At 38.0% G+C, this 25932-nt stretch overlaps 1 protein-coding gene and 1 pseudogene across 5 annotated transcripts in view; one reads left to right on the top strand and one right to left on the bottom strand.

The window, feature by feature from the left end:
- The window catches only part of PSMA8 (proteasome 20S subunit alpha 8), a 59487-nt gene that overhangs the window by 16385 nt on the left and 17170 nt on the right, over positions 1–25932 (bottom strand). For 3 of the 5 annotated variants that reach the window (NM_001308188.2, NM_001025096.2, NM_001025097.2), the window contains 2 exons: positions 24989–25113; positions 18727–18849 (listed from right to left, as the gene is read on the bottom strand). In NM_001308188.2, coding sequence (NP_001295117.1) covers positions 18727–18849; positions 24989–25113 — 248 coding nt within the window. Of the gene's footprint in view, positions 1–18726; positions 18850–24988; positions 25132–25932 lie in introns of all 5 variants that reach the window. The other 2 variants (XM_011525818.2, NM_144662.3) reach the window with 1 other exon arrangement.
- Positions 5614–9109, top strand: DHFRP1 (dihydrofolate reductase pseudogene 1; annotated as a pseudogene).

Here is a 25932-nt window from a genome sequence, read left to right as displayed (position 1 = left end):
ATAACTGTTTAGTATTATTATTATTATTATTTTCTTTTTTGAGACTGTCTCACTCTGTCGCCCAGGCTGGAGTGCAATGGCGTGATTTCGTTTCACTGCAACCTCTGCCTCCTGGGCTCAGGCAATTCTCCTGCCTCAGCCTCCCGAGTAGCTGGGATTATAGGTGTCTGCCACCATGCCCAGCTAATATTTTTATTTTTAGTAGAGATGGGGTTTCACCCTGTTGGCCAGGCTGGTCTCAAACTCCCGACTTCAGGTGATCTGCCTGCCTCAGCCTCCCAAAGTGCTGAGATTACAGGTGTGAGCCACTGTGCCTGGCCAACTGTTTAGTATTATGATTATGGGAAAGAGATCTCAAAGGAGATTTTAGGACATAAACATGAAAACACACCATTTATATTACATTATATAACAATATACTATTCTGGTTAGCAAAAGATTATTTTTACTTTATATAATTTTTCTATGCCATTATATTTCAGAGGATTAATATAAGTAGCTGTTGAAACTTCTAAATTAAATTTTGTGGCCTTGAAATTTCACCAAGATCAAAGGTAAAGCCTTCAGCCTGGCATGACTTTGAAATCTATTTGCTACTAGGTTTGTTTGTTTGTTTTTTGGTAACTAGTTGCTACCCAGAGAGGAAGTACATAGTTAGTGGCTTCAGGTAGTGGTTTATCCAAAAACTTCACTGGGCCTTTAAAGTCACCCTGCACATTTCTGGTGACTTTCCTATCCACTTCTTCCAATTCTTAATGTCAAAATCTTTAACTCTTACCCACCTGACTTGTTTTCTAAAATCTATCCTGTTCTTGCCACACTCAGATCCCCACCCTCCCTTGCCCCATCACCCACCCCAGTCCACTTCAATAATGACTGGTAGTTTTGCAATGCTTTTCCTACCTGCCTCCTCAGATTAATGATGATTTTCTGCAGCAAAGACTATTAGCTGACAACCCTAATATCCATTCTTCCTTTGTGACAGAACTCTAGGCAATGTGACTACTGAAAAATGTCACTTCCTAGCTTCTCTTACAAATAGGTATACACAGGTGGAAGTCACTGGGTGAAGCTCCTAGGAACCTTTACTGCCTAGAATGCAGACATATTGGCTAGAGGTCTAGCAGCTATCTTGAGAGCATGGAAAAAGACTAAGACTAAAAGAGACAAATACCAGCATCTGCCTACTTTCAGACTTTTCATTATGTGAGAAAAATCAATCTTAAGTGTTAAGCATCATCAGGTCTTTGTTGTTAGGAGATAAAAACAATCTCACTTGACAGACCTCGGAAGTGCATCCTGTGACATACTGCCCCATACACCTCCAGAAACAAAAACCTTATTCCTGTGGCTACTGGAAGTGGTAATGGCAGACAGCCCTCAGCTCTTAACTCCCTTGGGAAGGTTCCCTGGTTAACAAGAGCTCCCTCAGGTAAGGTCATGTGCTCTTCCAGGGCCAGCCTACACTGACTCAGTGACGAAGAGTATCAATGTGCAGTCCCTTCACCCCAAGTTAGAACAGCTCTGATGAGCCACTACAGATCCAGAGCACTCCATGGTGTCAACTGAAGCCTTTATTGCGACTACAATGCAGCCCAATGTCTCCCTCTGCCCCATCCTGATCCCTTCCCTTCAACAAATGCTGATACCAATGGCACTTCCTAATATCTTATAAAATAATAATCTTCCCATGAGGCTATGTGACCCTAAGGAAGGACAAGGTCTCTGCTAACAAGTGCAAAGCAGCTTTTCTCATCTGAAGGCTTGCTAACTTCCAGAGTAAATCTTCAATGAGCTCTCCCACACTAAGAAAAAGAGATGTGGAAATGAGCAAAAAACTCTACTCACAATAAATAAATCACAATTTCCATTATTTTGAAGTATAAACAACAGAAGGCAAAACTGGTCAAGTGTTGTCAGAAACAATAAATTGGAGGATTATATTAAACAGCTTTTAAAGTCTTTTCAGCCCTGAGGTTCTTAGTTTTTATGGCAGCATTTTCCAAAGTGAATCCCACAAAACATCAGAGTAGAGAAAGGATTTATGATCAAAGGGCTCTACGTTCAAGTAATCTTGGGGACTACTATTTTACCTGCTTCTAGAAGATTTAAATGCTTTTTAGCAGATCCAGATGTACTTTGGTAACAAAACTTACTAAATTTCTTTAAATAGCTAACAAAATTACTTAGCTAGAGAGCTTGTTTACCTAATACCTGTTAACATGAAAAGAAATGCATTTTGAGAAACATTGCTCAGAAGTATACGACGTAGTTAACATTCTTACCATTTTGAAACATTATGGCCCATACTGACAAGAGCAAAACATGCCCCTTAATCATTAACATCATTAATCAGGGTGGGGCTTAAGTCTATGCAGGTGGGTCTCCTTAAAATAGTATAGAATAGCTTTTAAATTAAGTAACCACTTCAATGCACAGCATATTAGATGCCAGTTTTCATCAATGTTCTTTATGAGCTAATTTTATTTAAAAACTTTAAAAATGCAAGCTTTTCAAGAAATACACAGTAAACTGAAACAAAGTTTTGAATATAAAATTTGAGTGCTAATGGCCAGACTGGCATTCCTACAAATCTACAAGCTATATTGTAAGTGAAAGGAAGAATATTTTAAAAAATGTGTACAACTTCTTAGATACACACTTAAATACCAATATCTTAGAACTAATAAGCAAGAACATATTCAATTCCTGCCACTAAATGTCTATAAAATATTATTTTGAAAAATCAGTAAAATACGATTATAGTCAAAGTAGGCATTTAGAAGCATCATTTCATGATCCGAATGCTATAAATATTACGTTTTCACTCTAAAATATAGGATTAGTGTTTGCTGTAAAATGAAACTTGAATGCTTAAAACACAAACTTCCCTTACTAAATTGTCAACAGAAGAAATGAAACAATTTTAAAAAGCTGTAAGAATTACTAATGCTTCAAAAGTTCAAAGGGAGAGAATATTTCTAGCTGAGAATCAAGTAGACAGCATTATGTTATTATCTAGTATTCATTTATTTGTTAAATAACGTATGACCACCTTGTATATAAGGTTCAATTCTAAGCACTAGTGTGTCAACAGTATAAAAAGTAGACAAAAGGCCGGGCGTGATGGCTCACACTTGTAATCCCAGCACTTTGGGAGGCCGAGGCAGGTGGATCACCTGAGGTCAGGAGTTTGAGACCAGCCTGACCAACATGAAGAAACCCCATCTCTACTAAAAATACAAAATTAGCCAGGCGTGGTGGCACATGCCTGTAATCCCAGCTACTTGGGAGGCTGAGGCAGGAGAATCGCTTGAACCTGGGGGGTGGAGGTTGCAGTGAGCCCAGATCGTGCCATTGCACTCCAGCCCGGGCAACAAGAGCAAAACTCCATCTCAAAAAAAAAAAAAAGTAGACAAAAATCCCTGCACTCATAGACCTTAAAGCTTAGTGGGGGAGAGATAGATAATAAACAAGGTAAACAAGGAAATATGTAAAATAAACAGTACATTAGTTGTTATGAGAGAAGTAAAGCCAGGATAGGAAATAAAGAGCATTGAGAATGGGCTACAGTGCTAGAAAGGCCAGTTAGGAGGGGCTTCACTCAGAGGGTGAGGATGGTAGCCATGCAGATATCATGCAAGCTCTGGGCAGAGGAAACAATAAGGAAGAACAAAAGTTAAAAGCCCTGAGGAAAGTACACATCTGGCCTCTGAAGAACAGTAAAGAGGCCAGTGTGGCTGAGTAGGAAAGCAACGGAGGAGTTAATAAGCTTCGGGTTGGAGAGTTGAGGTGGGGGCCAGATAAGGTTAGACCACTGTAAGGGCTTTGGTTTTTACTCTGACTTACTTGGGAGGCAAGAGGGGATTTTGAACAGAGAGGTGACCTGATCTGACTTAAATTTTAACAGAATCACACTGTTCACAATTAGAGTGCACATTCTTTCTGGGTGTGCCAAGAACGCATGGCCTTGACCACTCTTGATGGGGCTATTCCTCAGGACTGTATTAGTGGCCAACAACCCTGAGGAATAAGGTCACGTCTTTCTGCAGAAAAAGAAGAAGCTTGTTCACTGCCTATTACAAAAGTGGTAGATTCCCCAAGTTCAGGGTTTCTTAGCTATTATTAAGAAGACCCATCATATCCACCTGCTTCCTCTGTGCCACCAATGGCACTTGGCAGGCATAAGGAACTGGCACCATCACGAAATGCATGCTGTTTGCTGCAAAATGAGGTGGTAGTTGGAAGCAATGTGTGACCAACAGAGGCTTTTCTTTTTTTTTTAAGAGAATGTAACTGTACTTTTTAAATTGATTTATTATTAAATAATAATGGATTGGATACCCCAAGTGGCATATGGCTTCTCAACTGGTCTCTAAGACCAATTACTTCCATATGCAGCTTAACCCTGTGCTCAGGAAACCTCCTCTATAAGGTTTGTATCACATTGCTACATACCTATAAACCAATGCTATATATAGTCTAGGGGTCAGAAAATTATAGCCTGCAAGTCAGTTCCCTGTTTTTGTAAACAAAGAATTATTGGTACATCACTATGCCCATTTATTTATGTAAATCTATTTCCAGTCTATTTCTAGTTTATGCTACTATGGTAAAGTTTAGTAGTTGCAACAGAGACTGCAATGCCTACATGGCTAAAATATTTACCATCTGGCCCTATAAGAAGTTTTCTGTTCCCTGCTACAGATCAGCAATTTATACTCTTAAAAATTATTGGGAACTCCAAAGTGCTTTTGTTTGTGTTATACTTTTTGGTATTTACTGTATTATTGTTGAGAGATATCATGTGCCTTGGGCTGTCAGACAAGGCTCTGTTTTTCAGGGTTGTCTATGCAGCTGGTAATCTTGAGATAAAGATGTCATTCCTCAGATAAAGGGCAGGCTACCTTATTGCTTGCTATAAAACAAGGAGACTCTCCATGCTTGGTGTTCCTTAGCTGTGAAGCAAACCAACTTTGTTCACAGCATTCAACCAGGCCATATTACATCAACTCTGTGGGTCTTGAGGATAAAGGGAATCTATGCAAATATGCTGATACTCATGCTGTTTGATGTGCCATGAGTAATAAAGTCTTTGTTTCTGACCCAGAGGGTCTTGTGTCTTCTGCCAGTATCCATGAAACAGCAACAGGCTAATTTTATTAGTATGTAAGTAGTGTAAAATCAAATTCCAGACCCAATAATGAGAAACTGAAACTAAGACTTTTTTTTTTTTTGAGACGGAGTCTCACTCTGTTGCCCAGGCTGGAGTGCAGTGGCACGATCTCAGCTCACTACAACCACCACTTTCCAGGTTCAAGCAATTCTCACGCCTCAGCCTCCCAAGTAGCTGGGATTATAGGCATTTGCCACCAAGCCCGGCTAATTTTGGTATTTTTAGTAGAGACGGGGTTTCGCCATGTTGGCCAGGCTGGTCTCAAACTCCTGACTTCAAGTGATCCACCCGCTTCGGCCTCCCAAAGTGCTGGGATTACAGGCGTGAGCCACTGCACCCGGCCGAAACTCAGAAAATTTTTTAAAAATTTAATTCATTTAAAAATAAGCCCATTACACGTTATATTAGTCTGCTTGGTATGTCATAACAAAATACCGACAATTTCGCGCCAAACTTGACCGCGCGTTCTGCTGTAACGAGCGGGCTCGGAGGTCCTCCCGCTGCTGTCATGGTTGGTTCGCTAAACTGCATCGTCGCTGTGTCCCAGAACATGGGCATCGGCAAGAACGGGGACCTGCCCTGGCCACCGCTCAGGAATGAATTCAGATATTTCCAGAGAATGACCACAACCTCTTCAGTAGAAGGTAAACAGAATCTGGTGATTATGGGTAAGAAGACCTGGTTCTCCATTCCTGAGAAGAATCGACCTTTAAAGGGTAGAATTAATTTAGTTCTCAGCAGAGAACTCAAGGAACCTCCACAAGGAGCTCATTTTCTTTCCAGAAGTCTAGATGATGCCTTAAAACTTACTGAACAACCAGAATTAGCAAATAAAGTAGACATGGTCTGGATAGTTGGTGGCAGTTCTGTTTATAAGGAAGCCATGAATCACCCAGGCCATCTTAAACTATTTGTGACAAGGATCATGCAAGACTTTGAAAGTGACACGTTTTTTCCAGAAATTGATTTGGAGAAATATAAACTTCTGCCAGAATACCCAGGTGTTCTCTCTGATGTCCAGGAGGAGAAAGGCATTAAGTACAAATTTGAAGTATATGAGAAGAATGATTAATATGAAGGTGTTTTCTAGTTTAAGTTGTTCCCCCTCCCTCTGAAAAAAGTATGTATTTTTACATTAGAAAAGGTTTTTTGTTGACTTTAGATCTATAATTATTTCTAAGCAACTAGTTTTTATTCCCCACTACTCTTGTCTCTATCAGATACCATTTATGAGACATTCTTGCTATAACTAAGTGCTTCTCCAAGACCCCAACTGAGTCCCCAGCACCTGCTATAGTGAGCTGCCATTCCACACCCATCACATGTGGCACTCTTGCCAGTCCTTGACATTGTCGGGCTTTTCACATGTTGGTAATATTTATTAAAGATGAAGATCCACATACCCTTCAACTGAGCAGTTTCACTAGTGGAAATACCAAAAGATTCCTACGTGTATATCCAGAGGTTTGTAGATAAATGTTGCCACCTTGTTTGTAACAGTGGAAAATTGAAAACAACCTGGAAGTCCAGTGATGGGAAAATGAGTATGTTTCTGTCTTAGATTGGGGAACCCAAAGCAGATTGCAAGACTGAAATTTCAGTGAAAGCAGTGTATTTGCTAGGTCATACCAGAAATCATCAATTGAGGTACGGAGAAACTGAACTGAGAAGGTAAGAAAAGCAATTTAAAGTCAGCGAGCAGGTTCTCATTGATAACAAGCTCCATACTGCTGAGATACAGGGAAATGGAGGGGGGAAAGCTGGAGTATTGATCCCGCCCCCCTCCTTGGTTGTCAGCTCCCTGTCCTGTGTGTGGGCGGAACATAGTCCAGCTGCTCTATAGCAAGTCTCAGGTGTTTGCAGTAAGAAGCTGCTGGCATGCACGGGAACAGTGAATGCCAAACACTTAAAGCAATTCGATGTTTAAGTATGTAAGTTCTTTTTTTTTTAGACAGCGTTTCGCTCTTGTTGCCCAGGCTAGCATGCAATGGTGTGACCTCGGCTTACTGCAACCTCCGCCTTCCCAGATTCAAGCGATTCTCCTGCCTCAGGCTCCCAAGTAGCTGGGACCGGGTGCGCGCCACCACGCCCGGCTAATTTTTGTATTTTGTATTTTTGGTAGAGATGGGGTTTCGCCATGTTGGTCAGGCTAGTCTCGAACTCGTGACCGCAAGCGATTCACCCACCTCAGCCTCCCAAAGTGCTGGGATTACCGGCTTGAGCCACCACACCCGGCACATCTTCATTCTTTTTATGTAGTAAAAAGTATAAGGCCACACATGGTTTATTTGAAGTATTTTACAATTTAAAAAAATACAGAAGCAGGAAAACCAATTATAAGTTCAAGTGAGGGATGATGGTTGCTTGAACCAAAGGGTTGCATGTAGTAAGAAATTGTGATTTAAGATATATTTTAAAGTTATAAGTAGCAGGATATTCTGATGGAGTTTGACTTTGGTTTTGGGCCCACGGAGTTTCAGATGCCTTTGAGAAATGAATGAAGTAGAGAGAAAATAAAAGAAAAACTAGCCAGGCACAGTGGCTCACGCCTGTAATCCCAGCGCTTTGGGAGGCTAAGGCAGGCAGATCACTTGAGACCAGCTTGGGCAACATGGCGAAGCCCCATCTCTACAAAAAACACAGAAATTAGCTGGGCATTGTGGCGCACACCTGTATTCCCATCTACTCAGGAAGCTGAGATGGAAGAATTAATTGAGCCCACGAGTTCAAGGCTGCAGTGAGTCGTGATTGTGCCACTGCACTCCAGCCGGGGTGACAGAAGAGACCTTGTCTCGAAAAGGAATCTGAAAACAATGGAACCATGCCTTCATAATTCTAGAAAGTTATTTTCAACTGATAAATCTATATTCACCCAAATAATCAAGGGTGAAGGTAAAATAATACATTTTTAGACAAGCAAAGACTCAGGGGTTACCTCCATGTGCCCTTTTTAGGGAAGCTGTTGGAGAAAATACTCCAGCAAAATGAAGGAGTACACAAACCAGAGAATGACATGAATCCAGCAAATAGGATCCAACACAGGCAATATTCCAGCTATGGAGCTAGCTTTAAAAAGGAACAGTAAAAATATTAATCGGTTAGCTGGGTGGAATGGCCCATGCCTGTAGTCCCAGCTACTCGGGAGGCTCAGCAGCAGGACGACTTGAGCCCAAGAGTTCCAGACCAGCCTGGCCACCTTAGTGAGATCCCTTCTCTTAAAAATAATAACTTATTGCCAGATTTGGGGCATTTGGAAAGAAGTTCATTGAAGATAAAGCAAAAGTAAAAAAAAAAAAAAAAAAAAAACAAGGGGAAAGGGTTGGTTAGGCAATCATTCTAGGGCAGAAAGAAGTACAGGATAGGAAGAGCATAATACACTGTTTTTCTCAACAAGGAGCAGTATGTACACAGTCATAATGATGTGACTGCTTAGCCCCTAAATATGGTAACTACTCTGGGACAATATGGGAGGAAAAGTGAAGATTGTGATGGTGTAAGAGCTAAATCCTCATCTGTCATATCCAGAAATCACTATATAATACATAATAATGAAATGACTAAGTTATGTGAGGAAAAAAACAGAAGACATTGCTAAAAGAGTTAAAAGTCATTGCTCTGGAGAATTAGGAGGGATGGGGCAGGGGACTGTTAGGATGCATTATAAACTGAAAAGCCTTTTTAAAATTTTATGTATTAATATATGCATTCACTTGAAAAACTAAAAAAAAACAATAATTTGGAAAAACCCATGAAGGTAACTAACGGAAGGAAAAACTAAGAGAATGAAAAGTATTTGCCTCTGGAAAGAACAACTGGCAGGACTGTTGTTTTCATTGTAAGACTTTTGGAGCCATTTAATTGTACTTAACCATTTTCATCTATTTCTTTAATAAGAACAATTCCATCTTAATAAAGAGTTACACTTGTTAATAAAAAAAAAAAAAAAAAATACCACAGACCAGGTGGCATAAACCACAGAAATTTATTTTCTCAAAGTTCTAGAGGCTAAAGTCCAAGCTCAAGGTGCTAGCAATTTTGGTTTGTGGTGAGGGCTCTCTTCCTGGCTTGCAGATGGCTGCTTTCTCATTGTGTCCTCACAAGGCCTTTCTTCTTGTGTGCACACATACATGTTCATGCAAAAGAGAGAGCTCTCTGGTGTCTCTGTCTCTTTTTATAAGGACATCGATCCTATGGAATTAGGGTCCTATCCTTACGACCTCATTTAACTTTAATTATCTCCCTACAGGCCCTATTTTTGGGGGTTAGGGGTTCAATGTATGCATTTTGGGGGACCCAATTCCATCTATAACACATGTTAATATAAACATGTTTTTATGAAATAATTATATTTTCTAAAAGAAAAACTATTTTTTTGAGAAGAGTGGTACAAATATACTTCCTGTCTACAATATATTTGTCTTGCAAATATATTTACTCTCTGGCTTCACAAGAGAAAGCTGAATTCTTTTATCTGTTTTGCATTCAACATATTGCAATATGTTATTATGGCTGAAGTATAACCTTACACAAACATGTAGTTAGAAAAGGGAGGAATATTTTAATGCCCTTCTCAGAAAAGTGTGGCTATTCCACTCAACAGGTGGTAGTTAATTGCAAATTAAAATCTGCAACCACATAAACTTTTTTACTGTTATATTAGTCTCTTGGCTTTTTATACATTAATATTTTAAAATTTCTCAGTTTTAATTTCTAATAGTCAATAGGGATTGGTAAAACCTACACAATGTTTGCTTTGAATAGGTATTTTATTTTGCAAGATTTTGTAATGTCATGCTTGCTCATTTGGAAAACTGGTTTACTGAATTATGCAGATCTTCTAAATGTTGACCCATGTGATTTCTAAAACATTAAATAATCATGCTTATTAATTTTTCGCAAAGAAACTGTCAGGCTCATTGTGGCAAATACATGTTTTCCAAAATTATAATTTTTGCTTGAAAACTTGAATTTTATCACTGGCAACAAATCATTGGAAACAACTGTCAGTTGTTTCCTTAAAGTAACAGGCTCAGTTTGCTCATCCTTGAGAATATGTCCTGCCAAATCTCCAAGTCCTAATAACCATGGTTATTTATTGTTTTGTCAAGTAAAAATGAAGTTCCGTAAAAGATGGGCTGTTTTAGCTTGCAATTCAAACAATCACAAAACTGCTTTTCCTCAAGACATTCACCATACCTGCAGCAAACATGTTTATGAGTACTTCCATTTCATCACACAGAATGTTAAAAAGATGTATACCTGAGTCAAGATTTAATAAAACTAACAATCTTTATGGTTTCATCAAAAAGAACTCATGTTAAAGTCAAATTTATTGAGTTTTTAATTGCAAATGTATGGTGGTAAAGAAAAAAATGAGAGCTAACACAGTTGTGTACCAAGATACCAGCAATTTTATCCATGATCACTTCTATGCCATCAGTGTATGTGTCCATGCAGTGAAAATGGGAAATATTGTCTCAGTATTATTAGGAAAATAGTTTTTACCTAATGGGTCAGGGATTTGCAGATCACATTTTGAAATCTGCCACTTTTTACTGTATATCATATTTGGCCAAATCCTTTAAGCGTATAAAGCCAAGCAACCCATGCACAATAAGGATTCCACACAGACCTACTTGAAAGTTCATAATGTTGCAGTTTTTCTTTTCTTTTCTTTTTTTCTTTTTCTTTTTGAGACAGAGTCTCACTCTGTTGCCCAGGCTGGAATGCAATGGCAGGACCTTGGCTCACTGCAACCTCTGCCTCCTGGGTTCAAGCAATTCTCCTGCCTCAGCCTCCCAAGTAGCTGGGATTACATGCATACACCACCAGGAACAGCTAATTTTTTGTATTTTTTTTTTAGTAGAGATGGGGTTTCACCATGTTGGCCAGGCTGGTCTCAAACTCCTGACCTCAGGTGATCCACCTGCCTCGGCCTCCCAAAGTGCTGGGATTACAGGTGTGAGCCACCACGCCTGGCCGTAGTTTTTCAAATTTAAACAATGAGTAGCAAATCTGGCAGGTCAAATGAATCATCTGGGTAGATTCTAATTCCATCTAAAGACCATATGTTTTGCTTATCTTTCTCTAATCTCTAAAAGGTAGAGATTTTTTTTTTTATCACTGCTATCCCCAGTGTCCAGAAGAGTACCTAGTACATAGTAAGAGCTTAATACTGTTGTTGAATGATGGAATCCTATAGCGTTGCCAATCTTGGGGGGGGAAAATTCCCTTGAACCTATATTCTCCTCTAGCTACTGTTCGTTTGTCTGCTCCTGTTTATAGCCAAATTTCTTAAAAGCAATATCTTTACTTCCTATTTCCTTTTCTTCAATTTTTTATTTTGGAAAAATTTAAACTTACGAAAAGTGTAAAGTACAACGAACAACTAACACCGCACTCTTTGCTTGGATTCATGAACTATTAACATTTTGAGGTATTTGTTTTACTTCTCTCAATTTAGATGCAGGCGTGGGTGCATGCGTGCGCACGCATACACACACATTTTAATGCTGAAGTTGCAGATGTCATTATATTTCATCCTTAACTATTTCAGCATCTACCTCTTTAAAACAAAGTTGTTCTCGGCCAGGTGTGGTGGCTCACCCTTGTAATCCCAGCACTTTCGGAAGCTGAGGTGGGTGGATTGCTTGAGGTCAGGAGTTCCAGAGCAGCCTGCCAACAGCGTGAAACCCCGTCTCTCCTAAAAATTAACTTGGCATGGTGGCAGGCACCTGTAATCCCAGCTACTTGGGAGGCTGAGGCAGAAGAATCGCTTGAACCTGGGAGGTGGAGGCTGCAGTAAGCCGAGATGGTACCATTGCACTCCAGCCTGGGTGACAGAGAGAGATTCCGTCTCAAAAAACAAAACAAAACAAAACAAAACAAAAAAACCAAAAACTCCAACAACCCTCCCCCCTCAACAAAAACCCACAAAGTTGTTCTCTTATATAATTACATTATAATAATCACATCCCGAAAATTTAAAACAGACACAACATTATCTAATATACAATCCATATTTAAGTGTCTCTGGTTGTCCTCAAAATGTCCTTTGCATCTGTTTTTCCCACATCCAGTATACAGTCAAAAATCTTGGATTGCATAAATTCTTTAGTGTCCTTTAAACTAGAAAAGTTTCCATGCCTTTATTTTGTTTTTCATTAACATTAACATTTTTGAAATATCCTGTAGAATGCTTTACAACTGAGATTTAGCTGATTGTTCCCTCAATCAGATTTAGGTTAAATCCAATGACAATAATACTACTAAGGTCATGTTATTTCTTTTCCATTGCATCACAGCAGGACGCATATAATGCCAGTTTATCCTCTTATAGGAGATGCTAAGTTTGATGGTGATGGTGGTGTCCGCCACAACTTTGTGATTAACAAGTAATATGTGGCACCACGTGAATATCCTTTTCCCAGCCATCTTTCACTTGATGGTTTTGGCACCCCTTAATGATTCTTGATCGTCCCTCTCCCCTTTTCTTTTATTATTTATCTATTTTTAATTTTGTAGAGACAAGGCCTCACTATGTTGCCCAGGCTGGTCTTGAGCTCCTGGCCTCAAGTGATCCTCCCACCTTGGCCTCCCAAAGTGCTGGGATTACAGGTATGAGCCTTTTTCTTCTAAATCCACTCCAGTCATGCTTTCATCACCATCACTCCATCCAAACTGTTCTTGTAAAGGTCACCAATGACCTGCACATTGCTAAATCCATTCATTTCACAGCCCTCTTTTTACTTGATGGAACTGAGTAAATTGATAACTCTTTCTTCAAACACTGTTTTCACTTGGGATCCAGAACACTTGTCTCCGAGTTCTCCTCCTTTGTAGACTATGCTGGGTCCTTCCCAACCTTTCCCTGGCCCAATGCCTCTAATCTAAATCAGGTCTTGCCTGGATTATTGAACATAGCCTGTAACTTATCTCCCTGCTTCTACCCTAAGTTCTCTACCATCTATTCTCAATATAGCAGCTAGAGAGACACATTAAAAGTATAAATCAGATTGTGTTATCCCAATATGTAAAAACTTCAAATGGCTTTCTACATCACTTTATTTAATATAATAATTTAAGTCCTATCCAAGGCTTTCTAGCCCTACAAGATCTAGCCCCACAAGATCTAGCCCCCTACCTCTGAATACTTCATTTCTTACCACTGTATTTCTTGTTGACTTGCTGTAGCGTAGTCACGTTGGTGCTCAAAAAGTTTGAGATTTTGAAGCATTTCAGATTTCTAATTTTTGGATTATAGATGCTTAGCCTGTATGCTCTAGCATAGAAATCTAGCTATAATAGCCTAGTTGCTATTTTTTATAAATATGGAACATGCTACTGCCTTGGGATTTTGCCCTTTTGTTTCTGTGTTTGGAACACCAAAGCAAATAACTGGCTGGCTTGCTCCTTCACTTTCTTCAGGTCTCTGTTCAAATGTCTCCTTTTCAAAGGGACCTTCCCTGACCACCTTGTGTATATCAGTCATTCTCTATCCTCCTAACCCTGTTGTCTCATTTTACTCACAGCATATATATATATATATATATATATATATATATATATATATATATATATACACACACACATAAACACACACCACCTTTTATATTGTTGTATTTAGATTTTTATATTGTCTGTCCTCCCTTTTTCATAGGGGCAGGAATTTTCATCTGTTGAGTTCACCTCTATATTCCCATAACCTAGAACAGTATTTAATATGTAATAAAAATTCAGTATTTATAGACTGAATACTTGTTAAATGATGGGCTGTTTATATATTTTATACTTTTGATGGTGAATAATCTTTGGGAATCCTGCACTATAACATCCCTAAGTACAGTTATCAACTCACATGCTTATTATTCTGGTATTCAATTCCTTATTTCTGGACCTTTAGGATTTTATTTTATTTTATTTCATTTTTGAGATGGAGTCTTGCTCTGTTGTCCAAGCTGGAGTGCAGTGGTGTGATCTCAGCTCACTGCAAGCTCCGCCTCCTGGGTTCACACCATTCTCCTGCCTCAGCCTCCTGAGTAGCTGGGACTACAGGTGCCTGCCACTGCGCCTGGCTAATTTTTTTGTATTTTTAGTAGAGATGGGGTTTCACCGTGTTAGCCAGGATGGTCTCAATCTCCTGACCTTGTGATCTGCCCACCTCGGCCTCCCAAAGTGCTGGGATTACAGGCATGAGACACCGCGCCCAGCCAGGATTTTATTTTTGTATTTAGCTATGCATTAAAAATGTTAATAATCATTCTAGCCCTGCAGATGTTTATAGAAGGAGAGTTTTTAGTTAATTTAATGTAATTGGCCAAATGCCAGAACCTGTTACTCCACTAAAAAATTTTCTTTTAAGCCAAGTACAGAAAGACAAATACTTTATGATCTCACTTATATGTGGAACCTAAAAAAAAAAAATGAACTCATAGAAGCAGAGAATAGAATGGTGGTTAACAGGGGAGGGCAGAGGAGGGAAAGGGGATGGAAAGTTGTTAGTTCAAGGGTACAAAGTTTCAGTCAGGAGAAATAAATTCTGGAGATCTACTGTACAGCATGGTGACTACAGTTATTAATAACGTACTGTATATTGAAAATTGCTTAAAGAGAGTAGATTTTAAATGTTCTCATCACAAAAATAAGTATGTGAGATGATGGGTATATTAATTAGCTTGATTTAAATCATGCCACAATGTACACACACATTGAAGCATCACATTTACAACCATAAATATATAGAATTTTTTCATCTGTCAAAAATTTTCTAAATATCTTCTTCAGTACAAAAATGTATAAAGAAAAAAATCTAAAAATGAGTGTTTCCTTACTGTACCCCTGTTTTTTTAATCTGGATACTGGCAGAGCTTCATGGCAACCTGACAACATGGCTGACTGAGTTTGTTGGACTTTTCTGCCATGGAAAGGGCAGCAGCTTGCCCTCAATGGAAGAGAAACTCACCCAGGATATAAGTTTCCCCTACTTGTGCCAACTGCTTCTGTCAGCTCTCCCACCTATGGACTTAACTGAATACTTCCTTGCATTTTTTTTAGAAACAGTCTATGTTGTCCAGGCTGCAGTGCAGTGGCTATTTGCAGGCATGATCATAGTGCACTACAGCCTGGAACTCCTGGGCTCAAGCCATTCTCCTGCCTCAGCTTCTCAAGTAGCTAGGACTACTGCCATGCACCACTTTAGCTGACCTGAATAGCTTTCTTCACCATCATAGTATTCTAGAAAACATAGCCTCTGAGCAAGGAACTGATTGTGAGGAAGTAGGGGAATTGGCTTATGTTCATGAGATTCATTGGTTTTACTATGTTCTCTCATCACCTTGAATTAGCCAGCCTGATAGTAATTCTAGAACAGGCTATGAAGACTCAGTAATAGCAGTAGCTGTGTGACATCTTACAGGGATAGGGTTCTGTTCTATAAGATCCTGTATGTACCCTGAGCCATAAACTAGTAATTCATTTTTCACATGCCTACAAATCTAGGAACTAAGGAATAGATGTGTCTCATGAATATCCTTAATGGCCCACTTGTAAATCTTTGTCTCTTGTCCCCACTTGGTTCTGCTAGTTTAAAGGTTCTAGTTCCCAAGAAAAAGAAGGGGAGATAAGTGGGGAGGATGTTTCTATCAGGGGACATAATAATTTCACGGAACTACAAGCTGAGATTGCCACTTGGCCATTTTGGACTCCTCATGTTATTGAACCAACAGGCAAATAAGGGGTTACTGTAATGACAGTATGATTTGTTTTCATCATCAATGGGAATAAAGTTACCATTATACAATAGGACCAGGGAGGAGGTATCTAAAATTCAAAGTATTTTCTGGAGGCTTCTCTTAGCATTCCCCTGTAAAATGAAATAACTTAATGGAAGGCACTATTACCCATTATGGCAGGATCATTAAAGGCCCAGTCCTCATAAATAAAATCTGTGTTACATGCCAGGTAGAGAACCTCAAAAAACCAAACTGCTGGTATTAGCTATTTCTATTCTCATTTCTGCAACAGGCCATGTGGCGACAGTTTATGTTCATAACTTCCTATTTCTCCTACCCATTCTATCTTTTCCTCTACCTATACCTCATAAGCCTACAAAATAGCATTGCAAAATATGCTCAGTACCATAGCTGTGTTCTCAATAGTCCATTGCAACATTTATCAGGTTACTTGGTATAGTATGTCAGAGTAAAAAACAAACAGACATAAAAAATAAAACACAGATCCAAACAAAACAAAAAAAGAAAAACTTGATCTCATAGCTAAAATGTTATAGTTCCCAGAAGTAGAAATCAAGTCAGAAGATTTTATTCTACCTTCCAAGAATGGATTTTAGAATTTATATAACATGCAGAGAAAATAATCTGGCCTAAAGGAAGTAGCATGATGTAATGCAAACAACATAGAATGAAATAAATAGAACATCTTGAGTTCTAATTCAGTATTGCTATTAACTAGGAATGTGAACTTTTTTGTTTTGAGACAGGGTCTCACTCTGTCACTCAGGTTGGAGTGCAGTGGTATGATCCTAGCTTACTGCAGCTTCAAACTCTTGGGCTGAAGTGATCCTTCCACATTAGCTTCCAAAGTAGCTGGGACTACAAGTGTGTACCACCAATGCCTGGCTAAGATTTAAATTGTTTTTGTAGAAGTGGGGTCTTATTACATTGCCCAGGGTGGTCTCGAACTCCTGCATTCAAGTAATCCTTTTGCCTTGGCTGCCCAAAGTGCTGGGACTACAGAAGTGAGCTACCACACCAGGTTGGGAAGGTAAACTTAACAACAGCAACAAAAATCACTTAACCCCTAAATCTCAGCTGCCAAATACATAAAATAAAAAAGGTTTTCAAATGTTTTTTGTTAAAGATGATTTTTTTTAAAAGCTGCGTAATATTTCCCTCAACCAAAATCCCACCAGAAAGTGCACTACATAAAATGTAATCAGTGGGGTATCCACGTGTATGCAAGCGAGTGCGCCGTGCTTATATCCTCCTGTCCCACCATGAGAACTGAAGACACCAGAGCAGAGCAGAGTTTCAGACCAAGATGATCAACAAAATTCTCAACAACTAAAAAATTCCATAATTTTCCTGACTGAGATAAAATAAAATACTTCTCTGTACGTCCCTAAGAAGCAATCAAATTAAAACCGAAAAATTATGTAAACCTGGAAAATGTTGTGTTACGATATAGAAACAAAGGGTAATGATGTAATGATAAATGCAAACAGAAGATGGCAGGCTTTAAAATATTTAAAGATTGAGTGTAGTAACTTGGTTTGTTTAGGGCACAGATTTAGGAGACAAGAAATCTAGTACAGGTAAGAGATCTCTAGTTGACAGGAAAAAATGGTCTGATATTTGCAGCATGTAAATCTATACCTTCTGATTACTAATTAGATTACTCAGGCAGATTAAAAAGATATGTGCCACTAACATAAGTATTCTGATATTTGTTGTAAGAATAATCCACTGCTTTACTGCCTGGTTAACGGTTTACAAAACAGTATCTTATGAGTATGGTCAGTGCAAATCAAATTCTTCATTTAACACAAGCATAAAGACCATGGCAATATTTCTCCATTAATTTATTTGGCTCTTAATAATAGTAAAATCAACTTTGTAGAAAACTATTTAAAATCTGGGTATTTAACTTTTAATAAAGTCAAAATCAGTTATATTGGATTCTGTAGTGTAGTCTTATTCTTATATACAGGAATATATAAAAATTCACTCCTGGAAGCTAGGTTTCTCTGGCATGTAGCAGTGTTTTTTGCGGGGGGCAGGGGGGCATTGTTTGGTTGGTGTTTTTCAGACAGGGTCTTGCTCTGTCACCTGGGCTGGAGTGCAGAGACATGATTATAACTCACTGTAACCTCAAAATTCTGGACTCAAGCAATCCCCCTGTCTCAGCCTCCCAAGTATCTGGAACCATGGGTGTGTACTACCGTGCCTGGCTGAGCCCTATACTTTTGTATTGGATTTGAGTGCACCATTAAACAAAGTCATTACTGTAGTTGGGTGTCAAAACAAGAATAACAGCTTATCCAGAAAACAAACTATATGCTAGGAATTATGTAGAGATCATTGCTACGTACTAGCACATGAGTATAGATTCATAGTTTAGGGTGCTCTGACTCTCCTAGAATGGAGAAGATGAATTAAATATTTCAGTATGAATTTAAATGTCCATCTAATTCTTTGTTAAAAGAAGAAGGACTATTTCTGCTTGAAGCAAGCGTCTATATAGTACAATATTAATTTGGAATAATAAATAAATAGGAACTGGATATTTCTCTTACTTGGCCATTTATAAACACTTACTTTGGTCACATCTTTTCAAAAGACCTTGTGCTTACAAAATTAAGGTGATTCTTTATCCAACCAAAATCATTGTAGTTTCTGACGAGCTGAATAGTTACATTTTACCAATATCAATATTTAATGCAACATAATTTTTCATGTCTCTCAAAGCAATAAAGCATTTACATTGAATATTTACTAAACTTCTAAAAAAGTATTAATAAATTCATGACTCACCTTCCAAGCATGATAAGTACCAGAAGGATCTGTCTGATACAATCTTGAGATACCATCATCATCAAAACCTACAATTAAGGCAGAAATACCAAAAGGTCTTCGTCCATTGCTTTGGGTATATTTCTAGAAAAATAAAACGTATTTTTAGAATAAAACTATTAGTTACAAAATAAAAATTCTAATAATAAAGCATTGCTGCCCAAATGATCCACTTCCCTAATTCTTATTCGACATATATTAATGATCTTTTTCCTAACCCTTTCTGGAGCAATCTCAATTCATGATGAAATTTTAAAAAATTATGCTATACAGTCTATACAATAAAATCAGAAGTTTATTTACATATAGTCTTAAAATCACTTTCTTGTTGCTTTGTATACGTTTGGTAACATCACTAGACTGTAATTTCTAATATAGCAGAGACCTGTTTCATGCATTTTGGTTCTTAGTAAAGTTGATTTCAATAAGCTGTGCTTTGGAAACATGTCCTCGGCTTACCTTGAGGGACGCTATAAATGTTACTATTATTATCAAGTATTCTTACTTGACACTATTTTTATCAAGGACATTCTGTTCACTATATACTAGGTTATCTCTAATTAAAAACCCAAGTAAAACATTTCTTTCATTCCCAAAACAAGAAAACCTTTGTTTATCCTGAAGAAGAGCATGCTGTTTCCTCACAGACAATGGGTCACTGGAAACCAATTGTATGTATTTCTACTTTAGTGGTAGGGAACTTCCTGGAATTTGTGCTCTAAGGAGTAGAATTCACACTGAGACTCGTGCCCCAAAAGTCGTGCAAAGAAGCATTCCTGACAGAAAGCTAAGGACTAATTTTTTTTTTTTTTTAAGAGACAGGGTTTCACCATGTTGGTTGGCCAGGCTGGTCTCGAACTCCTGACCTCAGGGGATCTGCCTGCCCTGGCCTCCCAAAGTGCTGGGATTATAGGTATGAGCCACCGCGCCCGGTCTAAGGACTAAATTTTTAGGCAACTTCATATACTATAAATAATTCTGTGGCTGTATATAACTGTATGTAACTGTGGCTTGAAATAGCTTTACATCAGCCTTCTTCCTGGTCTTGCCTATGTATCATATCTATTTTCTTATTTTCCAATTTTATTATATGTATTTTAAAATATATATATTTATTTTTAGGTTGGATGCAGTGGCTCACGCCTGTAATCCCACCACTTTGGGAGGGCAAGGCAGGCAGATCGCTTGAGCCCAGCAGTTCGTGACCAGCCTGGGCAACATAGGGAAACCCTGTCTCTACAAAAATAAAAAATTAGCCAGGCATGGTGGTGTGCATCTGTGGTACCAGCTACTGGGGAGGCTGAGGTAGGAGAATCACTTGAGCCTGGGAGGTTGAGGCTTCAGTGAGACGAGATCATGCCACTGCACTCCAGCCTGGGTGACAGAGTGAGATCCTGTCTCAAAAAAACAACAACAAAATCTATATAGAGTAGCATACTCTGTATGTGTATATATTATATACAATATATGCACACACACTGTATATATATTGTATATATATTTTATATATAATATATATAAAATATACACACACATTATTATATATATAAAATATATATACACACACAGTATGCTATTCTCTATTTCTACAAACACAACTTTTTTAGTGTCCACATATGAATAAGGACATGCAGTATTTGTCTTCCTCTGCATGACTTATTTTACATAACACAATGTCCTCCAGGCTCATTCACGTTATAACGAATGACAGAATTTCATTCTTTTTTATGGCTAAGTAGTATTCAATTGTGTATCTATACCACATTTTCTTTATCCATTTATCTGTTGATGAATGCTTAGGCTGGTTGTATATCTTCCCTATTGTGAATACTGCTGTGATAAACACAGGGGTGCATACATCTCTTGGATATACTGATTTCTTTACCTTTGGATGATGCATAACCAGTAGTGGGATTGTGGGATTAGAGGATAGTTCTACTTCTATAATAGTTTTCTGAGGAACCTCCATACTATTTTCCATAATGTCTGTATTAATTTACATTTCCACCAACAGCGTATGGGAGTTCCCCTTTCTCTGTATCCTTGCCAGCATTTGTTATTTTTTGTCTTTTTGATAATAGCCATTCTGAGGTGAGATGACATCACTGTGGTTTTGATTAGCATTTATCTGATGATTAGTGATGTTGAACATGTTTTCATATACATGTTGGCCATTTGTATTTCTTCTTTTGCAAAATGTCTATTCAGTTCATTTGCCCATTTTTTAGGAAGATTATTTGGGTTTGTTTGGTTTTCAGTTCTTTGAGTTCCTCGTACATTCCAGATATTAATCCCTTGTCAAATGAATATTTTGCAAATATTTTCTCTCATTTTGCAGATGGACTCTTCACTCTGTTGACTGTTTCTTTGGCTGTGCAGAAGCTTTTTAGTTTGATATAATCTCATTTGCCTAATTTTGCTTTTGGTGCCTGTGCTTTTAAAGTCTTATCCATAAAAATATTTGCCTAGCCCAAGGTCCTAAAGCATTTCCTCTATATTTTCTTCTAGTAGATTTATAGTTTTGGATCATACATTAAAGTCTTTAGTCCATTTTAAGTAGATTTTTGTATATGGTGAGAGAGAGACAGAGGTTTCATTTCATTTTTTCTGCATATCCAGTTTTCCCAGCTCCATTTATTGAAGTGGCTGTCCATTCTCCAATGTACGTTTCTGACATTTCTGCTGAAAATCAGTTGAATGTATGTAGATTTATTTCTGGGTTCTCTATTCTGTTCCATCGGCCTATGTGTCTGCTTTTTACAAAAGCACCATGCTATTTTGGTTACTGTATCTCTGAATATATTTTGATTTCAGGTAGTGTGATGGCACCAGCTTTGTTCTTTTTGTTCAAAATTGGTTTGACTATTTCCTAATGTCCTAGTTCACACCTAGGTATAAAGTAGCTGTTGTAAATATACCTTAGAGGGAAGACTCTTTTATTTTATTTCCTTAATGAGCCTTTTCTTTTTTTTTGACAGAGTCTCACTCTGTCGCCCAGGCTGGAGTATGGTGGTATGATCTTGGCTTACTGCAACCTCCGTCTCCTGGGTTCAAGCAATTCTCCTGCCTCAGCCTTCCAAGTAGCTGGGGTTACAGGTGCGCACCACCACATCCAGCTGTTTTTTTTATTTTTTGTAGAGATGAGGTTTCACCATTTTGCCCACGCTGGTCTTGAACTCCTGGGCTCTGGGCTCAAGTGATCTGCCCACCTTGGCCTCCCGAAGTGCTGGGATTACAGGCATAAGCCACCGTGCCTAGACTAATGAATCATTTTCTTAAGATAAAAAAGTAGGCTGGGTGTGGTGGCTCACGCCTGTAATCCCAGCACTTCGGAAGGCTGAGGCGGGTAGATCACGAGGTCAGGAAATCGAGACCATCCTGGCCAACATGGTGAAACTCCGTCTCTACTGAAAATACAAAAATTAGCTGGGCGTAGTGGCACGTGCCTGTAATCCCAGCTACTCAGGAGGCTGAGGCAGGAGAATCACTTGAACGAGGGAGTTGGAGGTTGCAGTGAGCCAAGAAGATTGCACCACTGCACTCCAGCCTGGTGACAGAGTGAGACTCCATCTCAAAACAAACAAAAAACAAATAAACAAACAAAAAACCCAAAACTACAAAAGGTGCATATGAGATATCGATCTTCTGCCGGAGAGCCCCAGGCCTTCTCGGTGGTAATTCCATTCTTATGACTATGTTTCCGTAAATACACTCTGCATAGCCTTGATATTTCTGGAAGAAAACCTAAAAACTACAATTGGGAATTTTGTGTATACAATGTTCTGTTCCTTGTATTTGGTGAATGTGTTTTTAATGATTAGGAAAATCGAAGCAAATAAAATAAGTAGAATAATGTAATGTTGGACTTCCTTGCAACCTGCATTAACAAATTTCAAGAAATCAAAATAGGGCAATTTTGTTATAAGCTAATCAGTTAAAACTTACATATATAGGATACATAATTAGTTTATTAAAAATCTCTATAAAAACAAATGGTAAAATTTGACTGGGCGCAGTGGCTCATGCCTGTAATCCCAGCACTTTGGGAGGCTGAGACGGGCAGATCACTTGAGCTCAGGAGTTCGAGACCAGCCTGGCCAACATGGTGAAACATCATCTGTACAAAAAATACAAAAGTTAGCCAGGTGTGGTGGCATGTGCCGGTAATCCCAGCTACTCAGGAGGCTGGGGTATAAGCATTGCTTGAACCTGTGCGGCAGAGGTTGCAGGGAGCTGAGATCAGGCCACTGCACTCCAGCCTGGGCAACAGAGCAAGAGTCTGTCTCAAAAAATAAAAAAATAAAAATAAAAATAAAACAAATGGTAAAACTCATGCCAAAAAGTGTTCTAAAAACCTAAAATGTCTTAAATCATTTACTCTATAATGCGAGCCAACGAAGTTCATATTATTGTGATGCTCATTTTACAAATTAAAAAAAAATTAAAGGCAAAGTAGGAAAATAGTTTGCCCAAGGCATTAACTAAGAAGTAGCAAAGCCAGGATTTAAACTCCAAAATTCTGGCTCCTGAAGGCACACTCTTAACCACTTGAGTACATGTCAAAAGATAGTTTACAAAAGGAGAAATGAAATCAGCAAACCAATAGGTGGAAAAAAAGTTCAACCTCATCACTAATTATAAGACACAAATTAAAACAACTATTATAGTACTGTGTGATACTTATTTGCAAAATAAAAGAACAATGAAAAACCTAATGTTGATGATTCTTCAAGGATACATTTATACATTGCTAGCTGTACAATAAAAATTGTTTCAATCTTTCTAAAGCAATTTAGCTACATATAAAAAGAATCTGAAAACCAATTACAATTTTTAATCTCATAATCCCATACTAAAAAATAAATTTAACAATATAATTCCAAAAATAAAAACAAAAGCTGTGGGAAAGAGTATTATCATTAGAGCAGCAGAGAGAGAATAAGAGAGAGAAGAAAAATGAAAGAAACCAGGAACAATGTAACTAAATTATGACATAGCAACTAGAAACAGTATTACATTGTTAGAATAATAACTAAAAAGACAATGTTGCATATATAAAATATACTTAAAATTAGTAAAAAAAAATAGTTGTAGACATCATGATTATACTTAATGTTAAGCTATGTATTTCTGCATGGATTGAGGAGAAATCATATCTGATCAGTTATGTTTAGGTTTTGCTTTAGTCCATTTTGTGCTGCTATTCCAGAATACCTGAGAGTAGGTAATGTATAAAGAACAGACATTTGCTTCTTACAGTTCTGGAAATTGAGTAGTCCAAGACTGACAAGGCTACATCTAGCCAGGGCTTTCATGCCATGCCATGTCATCCCATCACAGAAGGTGAAAGGGCAAGAGAGATGAGAGAGAGCAAGAGATTGAGCCCTTTTATAATTGGTATAATTATAAAAGATTAAGCCCTTTTATAATTGGTATTAATCCATTTATGACGGTGGAACCCTAAACTCCTCCCATTAGTCCCCACCTCTCAACACTGTGACATCAGGGATTAAGTTTCTAACCCAAACTTTTGGGGGACACATTCAAACCATAGCAATGTTGCAGGTAAAAGAATAATGCAGGCCAGGCACCGTGGCTCATGCCTATAATCCCAGAACTTTGGGAGGTCAAGGTGGGCGGACTGCTTGAGCTCAGGAGTTCAAGACCAACCTGGGCAATATAGCAAAACCCCATCTGTACAAAAAATACAAAAATTTGCTGGGCATGGTGGCTTATGCCTATGGTCACAGCTACTCAGGAGGCTGAGGTGGGAGGATTGCTTGAGCCCAGAAGGTCGAGGCTGCAGTGGGCCAAGATCATACCACTACACTCTAGCCTGGGCAACAAAGTGAGACCCTGTCTCAAAAAACACAAAAACAAAAACAAAAACAAAAAACAAAACAAAAAAGGTACTTCTCTGGAAAACTTCAAATAACTCTTTGTATTAATCTCCAGAAGTGTAGAAATCTCCTTAAAAGATCAGACTTACTGTTTTTTTAAATTTGAATGTAATTCCCAGAATTAATACTGATCCAGATTTCTAGTGATTAAATCAATCCATTTTACTGGAATAAAAATATGAATATAAAGTAAGTGTGAGAAATAAGAAATTTAATATATTTAATAGACTACATGGTTGGAGTAACTGTAGTACTTCTATGATAGGACTTATAATGATGAAAAAGGAGAAAGCTTAACAAAGTATGTTAGAATATTAGCTTACCTGCTTTAAAGTTGCTATGAAGCGAGTTATGTATTCTACAGTGACTGGGTCCTCAACCGTAAGCTTATGGCTCTGGCACTCCACACGGGCTCTGTTTATTACTACTCTAGCATCAGCAGTAAGTCCTATAAAAATTGTCAAAACTTCACAAAAACCACAAAAACATATTTTTTACAATACATTTTTCCTTGTCAAATGGGTTTTATTCACAATGAAATCTTTCTTATCCTTTTTTTCTCAATACATGCTCATTTTAAAAGACTTGTGAGATAAAGTGTCATTTGTCCTACATTCTGATTTATTTCAAGATTTAAGTTGATCCATTCTTATTTGTTTTTTATAGATGTTTTAAAGAATAATAGTTTAAACACTAATAGTAAACTTGATTTATTCTTATGAAAACAATAATATTACTTAATTATCAAATATATATTCACTGAATTCAAACTACATTAACAAAGCTGTGACATGTCACTTCTCAGTTTTTTGTCTAAAACCATGAGTTTGAAAATGAAGAATGCTAAAATAGAAAACACTTGACCTTGCTCTTGCAATAACAAACTATCATGTGATTAATTCTCAACACTTCTGTAAGGAGACAGAATGTGTTTCTATCAAAAGAGCAACAAACTGACCATGAACTTTAACTGATGCAATGGTTGCAAACATTTCTATTAAACTTTGGCATTTGACTTTTCCATGTCCACTTTGTTTCTTTCCCTCCTCTCTTAATACTAACTAAATTGCCAAGAAAGTGCACTCACAAAATCTTGGAAGCGTAGTCATTTCTAACAAAATCACTGGTCTTTTGCTGTCACAAATTCTTGTTTCCCTTCCACACCATTTCTAATCCTGTTTCTACAAACCTGGAAGAATCTTCAGTCCCTGAAGATAGTTAATATGAATATGCTACTCTTAACCATCACTCATAGTTGGGTAGAAAT

This window comes from Homo sapiens, chromosome 18 (assembly GCF_000001405.40).
Source record: "Homo sapiens chromosome 18, GRCh38.p14 Primary Assembly".
Classification (NCBI taxonomy): domain Eukaryota; kingdom Metazoa; phylum Chordata; class Mammalia; order Primates; family Hominidae; genus Homo; species Homo sapiens.
The sequence above is the reverse complement of the archived record's forward strand: the minus strand, read 5'-3'. Positions and strand labels throughout refer to the sequence as shown.